This window comes from Homo sapiens, chromosome 13 (assembly GCF_000001405.40).
Source record: "Homo sapiens chromosome 13, GRCh38.p14 Primary Assembly".
NCBI lineage: Eukaryota > Metazoa > Chordata > Mammalia > Primates > Hominidae > Homo > Homo sapiens.
Genome location: NC_000013.11, coordinates 79,278,523 through 79,294,264, shown reverse-complemented (window position 1 = coordinate 79,294,264; position 15,742 = coordinate 79,278,523). Strand labels below are relative to the sequence as shown.

At 38.0% G+C, this 15,742-nt stretch overlaps 3 annotated features.

Annotated features, from left to right (window-relative positions):
* Positions 5,461-6,049: an enhancer, noted in NCBI's record as "NANOG-H3K27ac hESC enhancer chr13:79862351-79862939 (GRCh37/hg19 assembly coordinates)". NCBI's record gives its function as "activates a minimal SCP1, AML or CMV promoter by ChIP-STARR-seq in primed H9 embryonic stem cells {active_cell/tissue: H9 hESC(primed)}" and the evidence as "EXISTENCE:reporter gene assay evidence [ECO:0000049][PMID:30033119]".
* Positions 10,048-11,027: an enhancer, noted in NCBI's record as "H3K27ac hESC enhancer chr13:79857373-79858352 (GRCh37/hg19 assembly coordinates)". NCBI's record gives its function as "activates a minimal SCP1, AML or CMV promoter by ChIP-STARR-seq in primed H9 embryonic stem cells {active_cell/tissue: H9 hESC(primed)}" and the evidence as "EXISTENCE:reporter gene assay evidence [ECO:0000049][PMID:30033119]".
* Positions 14,260-14,978: an enhancer, noted in NCBI's record as "OCT4-NANOG-H3K27ac-H3K4me1 hESC enhancer chr13:79853422-79854140 (GRCh37/hg19 assembly coordinates)". NCBI's record gives its function as "activates a minimal SCP1, AML or CMV promoter by ChIP-STARR-seq in naive H9 embryonic stem cells {active_cell/tissue: H9 hESC(naive)}" and the evidence as "EXISTENCE:reporter gene assay evidence [ECO:0000049][PMID:30033119]".

Here is a 15,742-nt window from a genome sequence, read left to right as displayed (position 1 = left end):
TTAAATTCTAATTTCCACAGCTATTTTTTTTCCAAATAGGTCTTGCATATGCTAAGAAGCTATAAGAAAAATATCAAAGAGTTAAATTGACCAATGCTTGTTTTTCATTGTATTTTTTTGGGTTTTACTGTTTTTTTGTGGCACACTTTTAGAGCTACCTCACTTTTGACTGAAAAACATAGATATTATAATATGTAATGTAATATATAACACACACAAATGTTATGTGGCTATATTATATATTATGTAACATACATATTCTATAGCTGATTAATAGGAATAAACAATTCATAGAAAATATTGGTTTTGTCCATAGATATACACATACATATGTATATAGTGTAAAAATGTCGGTTTTTTCATCATTGTATATACATAAATATATACATATATACATATAACGTGATGACCACAACTAACATTTTCTATGAAGTATTCAATCCTATAGCTATAAAATTAAAGTGTATTCTGGTGGAAAGAGGCTTAGGTGACCTGGGTCTAGTTCAGGCTCTAATAATTAGCTTTGGAATCTAAGCATATTCATTTAACCTTTCTGGACCTCACTCTGCTTATATGCAATAAGAGAGAATAAACTAGATCAAGGATGGCAAGCAGGATTCATCTTGACTACCAGCTCCAGAAAGCAGCTTGTTAAGTGCTGAGTTGAGAATTCTAGGCTGAGTATGGGCTTAATAAGGAAGTACACCATGATCCATTCGTGCTGTCTGCTATGGATGCAGGAGGTGGAGAGCAGGCCATGAGTGCCATATATTAGCTGTCTCCTTGGATGAGATTGCCTCCAAGGTCACTTGTACTATGCCATATAATTCAAGATATTTATCACTTAAATTTAAGTTTATAAACATAAAACAAACTGGAAAAACAAATCTTGAGGGTCCCTATCTAAATATGGATTTTGGGAAAACACTTTTTCCTTGGAAGTAGACATAAAAAAGGAAGTTTCTGCCAGAACTTTTTTGAAAGAATTTTTAAGATAATGTAAACTTATCTCCCTTCACTCTTTCATTCTCTCCTGAAATATTTATTAAGTACTAACTTTGAAATTGACACAGTGCTTGGTGTTGAATAGTTGCTGAATTGAATTGAAATGGAGGATTGAAAGATGAATAAGACACAGTTCTCGCTCTTGTGGAGTTCATGGCCCAGTGGGAAAGGCAGACTTCCTAGCAGGTAATTATAATACAACGTGTTAAATGCTACAATGATCTTGTGAAGCCCAGAAAATGAAATGACTAACTCTGTCTCAAGGAATTTGCTGCAGGCTCCACAGAGGAGGTGACACCTGAGCTGAGTGTTAAGAATGAATAAAAATTATCCTGGAGAGAATAGTTTAAGCATTTTGGTCCTATTGGCAAAAGAATTTCTTCCCAGAAGTTGTTTGTAATTTTTTTGTGTGTTGTTTTGGTTAAGATGGAATCTAGAAAACTGATGTATCATTGTTAATGATTATTCTGATGTTTAAGAAATTAATCAGATGATGTGGGCCTGGAAATGAGATTTGACTGCCTAGGAGAGGAGGAATGATGCATTTCAGATGGAAACTTACATATCCCTGGATGATAACCTTGGGAACAGCTTGGAAGGGGGAGAGCAGAACTGTGCTGACCAAAACTGGATGCTCAGAGAGAATGGAGGTGGGTGTGTTGGCTGAGAAGGGGGCACTGGGGCTGCTCCTCAGAAAATTCGTGTGAGGTTTTGGGAAGGAGTGACTTCCCAGAAGAGGACCTAGCTTCTCCAGGGCGGTAGTGATGGAAAGAGTGTCCATGCTGGAGAAGGACAGTGAAGTGTCATGAGGGAACATGGAGACGGAGGTCAAGAAGAGGAGTCTGTCCCTCGAAGAAAGGTGATGTGGAACCTGTGGAGGACAAGTTGATTGGGTACTAGTGAGCGAAGACTTCACTAATAATGTGTGTGAAAAGCCAAAACCTAAGACACAATTAAGAAAAAAACAAAAACAATTAAGGAAAAATACCATCTTGGTTTCTGGAGAGAAGTACAATTCTCAGGCCTGAGGCCTTTGGGAAGGGATGAGATGCAGATTCCAACTCCTTCTCCTTATGAGCTGTTGAAAACTGCTGGGGAAAAGAAGCATCCACTGCTCTGAGTCTTATCATCATATATTAGTTTTGACTACTCATATACTCATACATAGTTTTGTCAACTTCATATACTCATATATAGACTTCCCAGACTCATACTTAAAAAAAAACTACATACATAGACTTCATAGACTCATGCAGTTAAAAAAAGGAAAAAAGATAATATGAACGGTTGATTATACAAGGTAAAATAATTACAAATATGAATATGTATAGCAGATGACACATGATTTATGTTTATTAAAAAGTTATAGCTGATCAAGAAGGTAATACTATAATTAATGTATACAATATTTTATTTATCATATTAAGTTAATTTTATTTTGAAACTATAGCCAAAAAACTTTAAAGCTGTTGCCTATCTGTATTTATATATCCATGTATGACTAAATATGTACTTATGAAGTTATATTAATAAATACTTTACTACAAGTAACTATATGAATAATGAACAAAAGAAGTAAAATTAGATTTTTGTTTTTTTTAATAAAAATAACTAAATTATTCTCTTCCCATATTAGTAGAGGTTTCCCTTTGTCACCAAAATAATCTGTTAACTGTTGATGGTTTTTCATATATTCTTAAATAGTTTTTGAAAACAGTTCTTACCTTTATTTAATTAGTTTATTTATTTTGAGACAGAGTCTTGCACTGTGGCCCAGGCTGAGTACAGTGGCACAAACACGGCTCACTGCAGCCTCAACCTCCTGGGCTCAAGTGATCCTCCCACCTCAGCCTCCTGAGTAGCTAGGACTACAGGCATGTACCACCAGATCTGGCTAACTTGAGTCTTTGCTTTTTTTTAAAAAAGGTTACATTTCTAATAATCATTGTTGTTTGTTGTGTGATTTTGCAATGTTAACTGTAAATATTTCTTGTGTTTATATACTTATGACAGATTTTGTCTCCTTTAACAACCGTTTTTGATTTTTGCCTTCCCCAAACTCAGAATAATAAAATCAGTGAAATGTCAAGAAAGAAAGAAAGGAAGGAAGGAAGGAAGGAAGGAAGGAAGGAAGGAAGGAAGGAAGGAAGAGAGAGAGAGAGAAAGAAAGAAAGAAAGAATAAAAGAAAGAAAGAAAGGAAAAGAAGGAAAGGAAAGAAAAAGAAAGAAAAAGGAGGAAAAAGAAAACGGAAAACTGTTGGGCAGAGCAAGGTGAACCCGACTGCAAATTTCCCTGACATAGACTTCACCATTGTCTGGAGGGTTTCATTGCTGATACTCGGAGCTGTCGCCATGTGTTAGCATGCCCAGCAGATAAAGTTAGCAATTGGATTTGCATCTTAAACTGCGTGTTCCCATCGTGGCAGCAGAGCAGCCTGCTTAGGCTTCTCGAGTAATCTGGGCCCTCTCTTGGGTAAGCATAGATAAGAGGCTGAACAGTGAGCACTCTGCCCATTTAACCTACTGGAAAAGCACATTTACAGATTAAGACTGCAACAAACCTTTTGTTGTCCCAAAAAGATAAAACCAGACGTGTTAGAGGAATAAAAATGTGATCCATGTTCTGAATGCTATAGATTGGGTGCTATGTCTGCCATATAAGATTAGACTTTGCAGGCAGATATATCTAGTTTTAGCCTCATAGCACTTTTTGAGAGGCCCCTCAACAAGATCATCATTTTACAGTACAATTAATGAACTCCTTAAGCAGATTGCATCAGAGTTGACAGCAAAACTGCCCCTCCTATCCTTTCACAGTGAGACATACACAGTTGGGGCAGGGCTAGGAGAAAATAACATTTAGGTTTTGATTTAGGCACATTATTTTCTAAATTTGAGTTGTGCATGTCATGTGTGTATTTAGTTTTGGCCAATTTTCTTTTTCTTGCTGGTTTTTTCTTTTTGTAACCTTAAAGAAAATTTCACAGGGTACAGTGTGTTTCTTTACTATATAGAGTGCTTGGTTCCATTTTAGAAAATTGCTATGGAGAATCCACTAATGCTATAAATTCATATTAAAATATATTTGTACATCCACAGACCCAGCAATCCCACTCCTAGCTCTATACTCTGTAGAAATGAAAATACATGAGCACCAGAGTAAATGTACAAGAATGTCCATAGCAGCATTTGTAATAGCCCTAAACTGAAAATAACCTAGGTGTTCACCAATGGTAGAATATTCTGTAAATAAAATGGAATGTCATGCAAAGCAAAAGAATAAACTGCTGCTTACACAGGAATATGGATAAATGCCACAAACATAATAGTAAAGTCAGACACCCCCCACCCCAACACTCACACACAAAAGAAGACCAGCACAAAGAAAAGATTTTATGTAATTTGATTTGTATGAATTTCAAAAGCAGGCAAAACCAAGCTGCACTGACAGAATTTAGAGAAGTGGTTACATTTGGAGGAGCCAGTGACTGAGAAAGGACATGGCAGGGACTTCTGCTCTACTGGGGACACTCCCTTTCTTGATCTGGATGGTGGTTACACAGTGTGTTTACTATGAAATGTCACCACTAGACACACTTATGATTTGTGCACTTTTCTGTGTATATATTTTTACTTCTATAAAAAATTTTAAAAGTGGTTTGCCCTTTTATTTGTAATATTCAGATGTCTTAAATGTGAGACACATTTAATTACTTTGTACATATTAGCATATTGCACAAGGTATTAGTATTTTGAATTTGATGTTCCTGTAAATATATATGTGTACCAATTAACATTTTCTGAATTTTGTGACATTCTTTATGGAGGCTAATACTGTGGCAAACACTGATAAATTTTAAGAATGGACTAACAAATTATGTCAAAGATTCTTCTAGAATGGAAAAACTGCTATTAGCTAATAGCATCAACTATTGAAGAAAATTATATTTTATTTTAACATGTATGTACTTATTTTATTGAATATAGGCATTACACAACTCATTCAAACATGGTTTGACTTTGCTACCATCTTCACTTTCTGCCTGCCTTCATATTGTATTGTACTGTTTGGCATCCTCCCTTTCTCTAAAAAGAATTTAAGATTACATTCTCCCTTTATGTCTATGTTACTTACTTATAAGATACATACATGTGGACTTTTCCTGTCTTTTTGTCTAAAATCATTGATGTCTTCTCAGAATGTTGTGTGTGTATGTGTGTAGTGATATTAATAATATAATAGAGAAATTGCAGTCATGTTGAAAAGAACCAAAGACAATAGTTGAGATTCCTGTTTTCAGACAGGCAGTTGCTGTCTAAGAAATTTAGTGTTTTAAAGCATTCTATTAAGAACTTGGAGAGATGGTAAAATCATAAGATCTAGGTGAAGCAAACAAGATAACAAGCCCTACTGTTTTTCAACTTTTTCAACCTGATAGAATTATAGAATGTTAGTGCTGGGTGGGACAGAGGACAGACACTCAACAAATTCATAAAAATGGTCCCTCAGAGCCTGCTCGGGGCTGGTGGGTGTGCTCCCAAGGCCCTATATGTAAAGGAGATGCCACCCTGAACCTGCCCCCTTTGCAAAATCACCTTAGTACCATGGAGTCAAGAAACAGTTAAAGATGAACGGGCTATACCAACTTTGTAGAGGGGATGCTTGCCCTCCTAGAGATGGCACCCCATTAAGAAGGCTGGATGCCTGGAATTCCTTTCCATTGTGCTTCACTTGTAAATTTTTAAACTTTGCTTCAGTCCTAAGGCCTGTGGTAGAAGAACACAGCTTTCCAATCTTATCTATTTTCCAGTGTAGGATAAACATGTTGGGTTTAGTTAAATTATGAATGCTGATAATATTCATTTGGTACAATTTATATTCTTCTTTTATCTTTTTATTTTTGACAGTTTAGGCCGGGGCATAAAGCATAATTATATCCTTGGCATCCTCCCTTAGAAGTTTTAAATCAGTTCATGAGGCTTTCAGCGTGGCTCATGTCATTTATCCATCAGCATTCAGTCCATTTAATCCGGGCCTCTCAGCCGCTCAGCCCTAGCCCCTGTTGTGAATGATTGGCCTGCTCCAGTGCTCCCAGCTTCTCCTGTCACATCGCATTTGCATAAAAGAGGACAGATAACCAAATTTGAGCACACAAATGAAAATGCTAAGCGCTAAACCTGTCACAGTTGTTGTTCAACTAATTGTGAAAAATTTGATTTGCTCGCCTTTCACTGTGTGTCATGCAGACCCCCTTCTCAAATGTGCCTTGGCTTCTGCCTCTGTCTATGTAGCTTTTAAACTCTTGAGCACAAGCAGCCCACCCTGGGGATTACTTACCTCTCCTACCAGCTTTTAATGTTGGCTCATCTTCTTGACTAAATTAGGCCACCATGGCAAACAAACACATAATTAAAAACCCAGGAAAGACAACTGCAGTTGCACTTCTTAAATTGATTTTTGCAATGCTGGTGTATGCCTCCATGTGCTCTTCCATTTGATCATTTTATTTCTTTATATAACCTTTTGATAGAAGAAATTTAAAGATGGGTGGTGTTGCAAGCTTTATGTTTTTAAAACCTATGTGTTATTTTGTTTCTTACTTTCTGTTTCTCAAATAACAAAAATTGTATAATGGGTCTTAAAAAGCACATTCCTCTTCCCTAATATCTGACCTGACATACCAGTATACCTTTTTAATCAAGGTTTCAAATGATCCCGTTTGAAGTAGTATTAGAAACAATGGATAAAATTCCTTTGCCTACAACACTCAACCACAGGACCTCTTTTAAATGGTATGTAATATGGGTATTTAAAAAAACTTGCATGTGTTATATGCACAATGCAGTTCAGTATTTGCTATATAGAAGCTTTAACTGTTTTCTTTTTATAGGCCTTAAGTTAGTAATTTCTTGATGTCCATTAAAACAATACACATGTGGTTTGTCTAGTGTCAAAAACTCATTTTCTAAAAGTCATGCAAGAAAATGTCTCCTTTGTTTATAACAATATCACTGACTGCTTTGCTGCATTAATTTGCTCCTAATAGTTTAGGTTCAGGCAACAATGAAGATGGCATTAACTAAAGTTGAAACCTTTTAAGCTTGAGTATAGCTTAAATCACCTTTGAGAATTGGAAGGGTATAGTCTTGAAATTGGGTTGAAATGAAATGTGACATTACAGTGACAGTTTGCAGTTTGCAAAAGTTGGATGTGGTGTCATTTATTGCAGTATGCCTTTGGGATTTATTTTTAGTAGGTCATATGAAATGATTAATGGAAGAAATGTTTAAATAGATATACACATGTATATACAGCATTTAGTGTGTATGTATATATATATATACAAACACATACATAACTCTTGCATTTACACAGTCGCATCCTAAAGAGAACAATATGTCTTTCTGTTTGCTACAACCTCCGAAATGCTGAGAAATTAAATCCAATTTGAAAATTTGAGTGTGCACAAATCTTTTTACAATGTTTCATCCCATTTTATTTAAAAAAAGATTATAGTATGAAATGCTTACTACTTTGAAACACAAATGATACATTTAAGAGGTGAATTTTTTTTTTTTTACAGAGCTAGGGAAATATTTCACTCCTGGTACATTTTGTGTAGGCTTTTTCTACAGGCACACCTCAGAGATATTGCAAGTTTGGTTCCAGACCACTAGAATAAAGTGAATATCACACTTTTACATTTTTTGGTTTCCCAGCATGTGAAAGTTATGTTTACACTATACTGTAGTCTATTAACTGTGCAATAGCATTATGTCTAAAAAGCAGTGTACCTTCTTTAATTTAAAAATACTTTATTGCTAAAAAATGGTAACAATCTTCCAACTCTTGTTATGCTGATATTTTGACCTCCTTCCATGAATCATGAATGTTCTTAATGGAATCTAGAATGGTGAATCATATCCAGAAGATTTTCAATTTACTTTCCCAGATCCATCAGAGGAATCCCAATCTATGGCAGTTATAGCCTCACAAAATGAATTTCTTAAATAATAAGTCTTGAGAGTTAAAATGACTCCTTGATCCATGGGCTGCTGAATGGATGTTGTGTTACAGGCATGAAAACAACATAAATCTCCTTGTACAGCTCCATCAGAGCTCTTAGGTGACCAGGTGAATTGTCAATGAGCAGTAATATTTTGAAATAAATCTTTTTGTTTGAGGTTTCAATAGTGGGCTTAAGATATTCAGTAAATCATGCTGAAAGCAGATGGGAGGTAGGCTTTGTTGTTCCATTTCTAGAGCACAAATAGAATAGATTTAGCATAATTCTTAAAGGCCTTAGGACTTTTAGAATGGTAAATGAACATTGGCTTCAACTTAAAGTCACCAACTGCGTTAACTCTAACAAGACAGTCAACCTGTCCTTTGAAGCTTTGAAGCCAGGGACTGACTTCTCTGTAGAGATGAAAGTCCTAGATGGCATCTTCTTTCAATGGAAGGCTGTTTTGTCTAAATTAAATATCTACTATTTAGTGTAGCCACCTTCATCAATGATCTTAACTAGATTTTCTGGAAAACTAGCTGCAGCTTCTGCATCAGCACCTGCTGCTTCACCTTGCACTTTTGTGTTATAGACGTGTCTTCTTTTCTTAAACCTCATGAACCAACTTCCAATAGCTTCAGGCTTTTCTTCTACAACTTCCTCACCTTTCTTAACCTTTAAAGAACTGAAGTGAGTTAAGGCCTTTCTCTGGATTAGGCTTTGGCTTATAGGAATGTTGTGGCTGGTTTGATCTTCTTATCCGGACCACTCAAACTTTCTCCATATCAGCAATAAGGCCGTTTTGCTTTCTTATCATTAATGTGTGCACTGGAGTAGCACTTTTAATTTCCTTCAAGAACATTTTATTTGCGTTCACAACTTGGCTAACTGGCACAAGTGTCTTAGCTTTTGGCCTGTCTCAGCTTTGACATGCCTTCCTCTCTAAGCTTAATTATTTCTAACTTTTGATTTAAAAGGAGAGATTTGTGACTCTTCCATTCACTTGAACACTTACAGGTCATTGTAGGGTTACTAACTTGCCTAAATTCAATATTGTTATTTCTCAGGGAATAGGGAGGGCCTGAGGAGAGGGAGAGAGACAGGGGAATGGCTGGTGGGTGGAGCAGCCAGAACACAGACATTGATTGGTTAAGTTCACCACCTTACATGGGTGTGGTTTGTGGCGCCCCCAAACAATTACGATAGTAACATCAAACATCACTGATTGCAGATCACCATAACAGATATGTTAATAATGAAAAAGTTTGAAACATTGTAAGAATTACAAAAATGTGACACAAAGACACAAAGTGAGTACATGCTGTTGGAAAAATGGTACCAACAGACTTGCTCTGTTCAGAGTTGCCACAAACCTTCCATTACTTGTAAAAAATTCAAGGTCAGACCAGGTGCAGTAGTGCATGCCTGTAGTCCCAGCTACTGCGGAGGACTGCTCGAGGCCAGGAGTTGGAGGCATGAGCTATGATGGCGCCTGTGAGTAGCCACTGCACTCCAGCCTGGACAACATGGTGAGAGCCCGTGCTTAAAGCAAACCACCACCAACAACAGAGGCCGGGTAAGGTGGCTCACACCTGTAATCCCAGCACTTTGGGAGGCCAAGGCAGGCAGATCACCTGAAGTGTGGTGTTCAAGACCAGCCAGGCCAACATAGCGAAACCCTGTCTCTACTAAAAATACAAAAATTAGCCAGGTGAGGTTGTGGGCGCCTGTAATCCCAGCTACTTGGGAGGCTGAGGCAGGAGAATTGCTTGAACACAGGAGGTAGAGGTTGCAGTGAGCTGAGATCGGGCCACTACACTCCAGCCTGGGCAACAGAGCAAGACTCCATCTCCAAAAAAAAAATAACAAAAAAAACAAAAAACCAGAAAAACACCATGTCTGTAAAGTACAATAAAACAAAGTTGGCTTGATTTTTATGTCGTTATTACTATAATTTCTTGTTTTGTGAATGAAAGTCTCTGTGTCTGCAGGTATATATTTCAACTAGTTACATATGAACAATATTGGTAAATATTACTTATGAGGCGTTTTTATGTTTTGAAACCAAAATTGTGAGAAGACTGCAGAACTTAATTTAACATCCCAAGAAGGATTGAAAGAAACCATCACCAGGGAAATCTCTTAAGACGCTACAAGGCCTTATACAGAGTAGAAACAAAATAGTCTATTCCACTTATATTCTACTTCTAAGTCATGCTAATTCCTCTTCAGTAATTTTTGGTTTCCTTTCTTTTCTTTTCTTCTCTTTTCTCCTTTCCTTTCTTTTCCTTTCCTTTCCTTTTCCCTTTCCTTTCCTTTCCTTTTCCTTTTCCTTTGCCTGTCCTTTCTGTGATAGAATCTTGCTCTGTCACCCAGACTGGTGCACAGTGGCATTAATATGGCTCACTGCTGCCTCAACCTTCTGGGTTCAAGCAATCCTCCTGCCTCAGCCTCACAAGTAGCTGGAATCACAAGCACGTGCTACTTTGTCCAACTAATTTTTTAATTTTTTGCCCAGACAGGGTTGGGTCTTGTCATGTTGCCTGGGCTGGTCTTGAACTCCTGAGGTCAAGCAATCCTCCCCACTTTGGCCTCCCAATGTGCTTGGATTATAGGTGTGAGCCACTGCACCTGGCCTACTTACTAATTTTCGGTGAGTTAATGCATGTAACACTTTGGAACAGAATTCAGCAAAGAGTAATTATCCAAAAATTGTAGCTAGTATTATAGTGCATTCAATATTAATGCTTTACTTTTCCCTTTGACCAATTTTAAATAGTTTCTGAGGTTTCTAAGCAATCACATTTAGCATTTTCATAGCTTTATATAATATTCTGTAGTTTACCAAATATTTCCACAACCATCCATATTATTACTAGTTTTTGTTTTCTTTTATAAATACATGCAGCTATCAGTATCTTTGTTCAGTCATGCTCCTTTACCTCCCTGCACCCCCCTCCCTGCTTTTTTTATTACTCTTCTGAGTTAAGTCTGCAGAGGTGAGATTCCCGTTTCATATGGCGTAATCATTTTATTGGTTTTGAGTCATATTGCAAAATCATCATCCCAAAAAGACTGAACCGTTTCATAATATCAGCTGCAACCTCTGCCCTCACCAGTGATCTTGCTAGCATTTCCTGTCTTGTGTCTCCCTCAGCTCAAAGTCAAAGCCCAGACTGAGCACTCTGTAACCTACTGCCATGGTCTTTTCTTGTAATACTGTGTCTATGTCTAGCACTCCCTTTCTTATTCATTTCACATGGCAATAGTTCTTCTCAACCATTGTTTATGTCATGACAGTGTTAGAAGCGTTCTTCTGAATTACGTACTTTTTTTAAATCAACTTATAAGTTTTTATTAGTTAAACTAGTATATGAACTGTCATCTACTAAGCCTACTATTTCTATTTTATTCTATTAGGACACTGTGTATTCTAGTTCTAAGAATGGAGGCTTTTGGTTCAGATGCCTGTTTAAATCCCAATGCTATCACTTATCAGTGGTGTAACTTCAGGTAGATTCCGTGAACTTTGATTATTTATCTTTGGAATGAAAACAACCATACCAACGTCACATGGTTACCGTGGTATATGGTCTGTGAAATCTTGGCTGGTATCAGGCACTTCATATATAGTAGTTTATTGACTATTTTAATCGTTACTATATTCCTACTCCTGTTCTTTTCTCCAAATATTTCCTGCAAATATTTTTTCATTCCCATCTTCAAACCATTGTAAACAACTGAGATTCTTTGCTTCCTTCTGCTGAATTTGATTTTTTTTTTTAAAATAATCTTTCCTCAATTTTTCATATTGGACTTACCTGCTTAGACACCTACTTCTTTTATTTGGGATTTGAAGATCTCCCAAAGGAATGTTTTTACATGAGAAATTTTTCTTCGAGTAATTAAGTTTAACGGGAGTAAAAAGCTGAAGGAATCCATAAATTACATGAAAATGAGTGTTTTCAGTTTGGTGCAAAGCAGAGGAAAAAAGAGAAAACGTTCATTTCTCTTCCCCAGTGACTGAAACCATTTCTGTACCTGAGTGGTTCTAAGATACCCTCCTGGTCTTAGTGTTGAAGGGCTTGGAATAAAAGAGATGTAGCACTCAGCAACTCTTTGGCTAATTATGTTTACAAAGTGCTTTCCACTCCTCTTGCCCTGCTTAAATTTCTAATTGTATAAAACATTTCCCTGACCTTAGGAAACATACAAGTTAGTCAGAAAAATAAACAATACATTTTTAAAATTTTACAGATAAAAATCATGAAATAATGCCACCAGCATGACATGACATAGACAAGGGTTTTGGAACTCAAGTGCTAAGGGAACTGAAGAGTATACGTGGTCCCTGAAAGCATTAAAATTTAGTTTAAATAGCAGCAAAAACACCATCACCATGTTGACCAAGAAAAAGACATCTGAGTGGCATTCTGTGGGATGCTGTTCTGTGACTACTCGTACACAAATGATGTTATATTTATAGAGCTAACCATGGTTCAGAAAGAGTGTAGGGAGGCATTAGGACTAAGCTGTAAATGACAAAAGGGATTTGTCCAAGTGAGGATGGGAGGCCACATGCCAGGCAGAGGGATGGCTGGGGAAAGGCAGAGAATGAGAAAATAGATGATCCTTCTTAAGGCCAGTGAGCAATTTGATTTTATGTAGGAGGAAATTCATGCCCAAGACAAAAGCTCCAATGATGAAAAGGGGTTGGTATTTACGCTGTATGTAGCGGCAGGCTATAAAAGGGTCCTTCCCACCCCCGCTGGGAAATTAACATAACAAAAGTGATGTTTTAGGATGATTATGCAGGTGGCATGCTGAAATCAGAAGGTGCAGAAAAGCCTGCAGCAAAGGAGACCAGTTAGAAGAGGATGTTGATGGTCCAGGTGTGAGGTACAAAGCATCACACTACGTATAATGATGGTGAAAAATTGAAAGGGAACAACATACAAAAGAGACATTTCATAAAAAGAATTAATAGCTTCTGTTGATGGATACAATTTAGGGCTAAAATGGATGAAGATTTCAAAGTTTATTGACGTTTCAAACTTGGGCAAAATATTAACTAAAATAAGCAACCAAGAGTACTGGCTTGGTGGGGAAAAGTATGAACGTGATTCTAGATAGGTGAAGTGAAATACTCAAGTGGTACAGTGTGTCTGTAGCTGGGGTGATTAAGATTGGATGCAGATTTGAAGATCAAATTTGACAATTACATTAAATAAGGAAATAGAAAATGATGAACAAGAATTAGAAGATATTACTTGTTTCAGTAATTTGACAGTGAATGAAAAAAACAAGCTAAAGAGGCAGCTTAAACACGTCAGAGAATTAACCAGAAAGTTTTTATTTTTCAAGAGAAGGGAGGAAAGTTGAAAGAAGCCATTGAAATAGGAACATCTCTTTCTTCTGTAGGTGATTTTCTGTGGGTTGTTCCCCTGCTTAGAAAAGTCATATAATGATATGGATTAAAGTCCAAATTCTACATTGGATTGGATCCAATAATTAGGTCTCTTTTTTTGGTTCTGTGAGGACAGGGAGGTAGAAACTTATTTTCTTCTAGTATGGGGCAAGATCAGCGTTCAGAGTGGGAAAAGAAGCTACCACAAATCCCTGAAATTAGGTGGGAATTAACAATGTTTTAGTAGAGCTCTCCTTTCATGACCTTTAACACCTGCTATGGAATTTTGTTAAGTGTTCTATTGGATTTGTAACGTAACGATAGCTTTTTATTAAGAACTTTGAGAAATTACAACAGCCAAGCCGCAGTCACTGGAGAAGTGATTAATATGATCCTTTACAATCATGGCAGGAATTACCACTCCTCTTTGATGTCTGCTTTTCCTCCACTTTTGGCAGGTGAGTGGGCTGCTTTTCCCCACCTGCTGCCCCTAAAGGATAAGCATGCTTTGCGATATGCTTTGGCCAAGGCGAGTGAGGGGAAGTATTACGTGTTAGTCGTGACTGCCTGTTAGCCTGCTCTTCCCTCTCACAACAATTGATCAGGGATGTGCATGTTGCTGTGGAGGCGCCCTGAGACAGAAGCAGGAATGTATTAGTTTGTTCTTGCATTGCTATAAAGAACTACCTGAGAATGGGTAATTTATAAAGAAAAGGGGTTCAATTGACTCACAGTTCTGCAGGCTGTATAGGAAGCATGGCGGGGGAGGCCTCAAGAAACACGATCATGGAGAAAGCAAAGGGGAAGCAGGCACGGCCTACATGGTTGGAGCAGGGGGAAGAGAGCAGCGGACGGTACTAGACAATTTTAAACAACCAGATCTCATGAGAACTCACTTACTATCACGAGAACAGCAAGGGGGAGATCCGCCCCCATGATCAAATCACCTACCACCAGGCCCCTCCTCCAACACTGGAGATTACAATTTGGCATGAGATTTGGGTCGGGACACAAATCCAAACTTTCACTCGCGTCCGTGTGAAGAGACCACCAAACAGGCTTTGTGTGAGCAATAAAGCTTTTAATCACCTGGGTGCAGGCGGGCTGAGTCCGAAAAGAGAGTCAGCGAAGGGAGATAGGGGTGGGGCCGTTTTATAGGATTTGGGTAGGTAAAGGAAAATTACAGTCAAAGGGGGGTTGTTCTCTGGCGGGCAGAGTGGGAGTCACAAGGTACTCAGTGGGGGAGCTTTTGAGCCAGGATGAGCCAGGAGAAGGAATTTCACAAGAGAATGTCATCAGTTAAGGCAGGAACAGGCCATTTTCACTTCTTTTGTGGTGGAATGTCATCAGTTAAGGCGGGAACCGGCCATCTGGATGTGTACGTGCAGGTCACAGGGGATATGATGGCTTAGCTTGGGCTCAGAGGCCTGACATTCCTGTCTTCTTATATTAATAAGAAAAATAAAATGAAATAGTGGTAAAGTGTTGGTACGGTGAAAATTTTGGGGGATGGTATGGAGAGAGAGAATGGGCGATGTTTCTCAGGGCTGCTTTGAGCGGGATTAGGGGTGGCGTGGGAACCTAGAGTGGGAGAGATTAAGCTGAAGGAAGATTTTGTGGTAAGGGGTGATATTGTGGGACTGTTAGAAGAAACATTCGTCATTTAGAATTATTGGTGATGGCCTGGATACATTTTTGTATGAATTGAAAAACTAAAAGGAATAAGAGAAGGAGAAAAACAGGTATTAAAGGACTAAGAATTGGGAAGACCCAGGACATCTGATTAGAGAGTGCCTAAGGAGGTTCAGCATAGCCTTGCCAGTAAAGATTATTTATTTCCTTTAGAGTTAAGAGTGGCGGTTTGGGGATAGCACCAGGAGATATCAGCTGTGGTGGCTTGGAGAAACAGTGTAAACTGGCAGTGTAAACAAGAGCAGGGCATGTATGAATAGTTGAGAACGGTGAATAGGAGTATGACTAGACAGAAGACAGTAGGGATGACAAGTTTTTTGGGGCACAGCCCAAGTTGGTCTGGTGTCTAGAATGAGACTGGGGCTTAATAAAAAGGAGCTCAAATGGGCTGTACCTTGTAGCATTCCGAGGACAGGCCTGAATTCTGAGAAGCGAAAGTGGTAAGAGTATTGTCCATTCCTTTTTAAGTTGGTGGCTGAGCTTGGTGAGGTGACCTTTAGTCCGTTCTACTTTTCTTGAAGATGGAGGACCGTAAGGGATATAAAGGTTTCACTAAATACTAACAGCCTAAAAAACTGCTTGGCTGATTTGACTAATAAAGGCTGGTCTGTTATCAGACTGTATAGAGGTG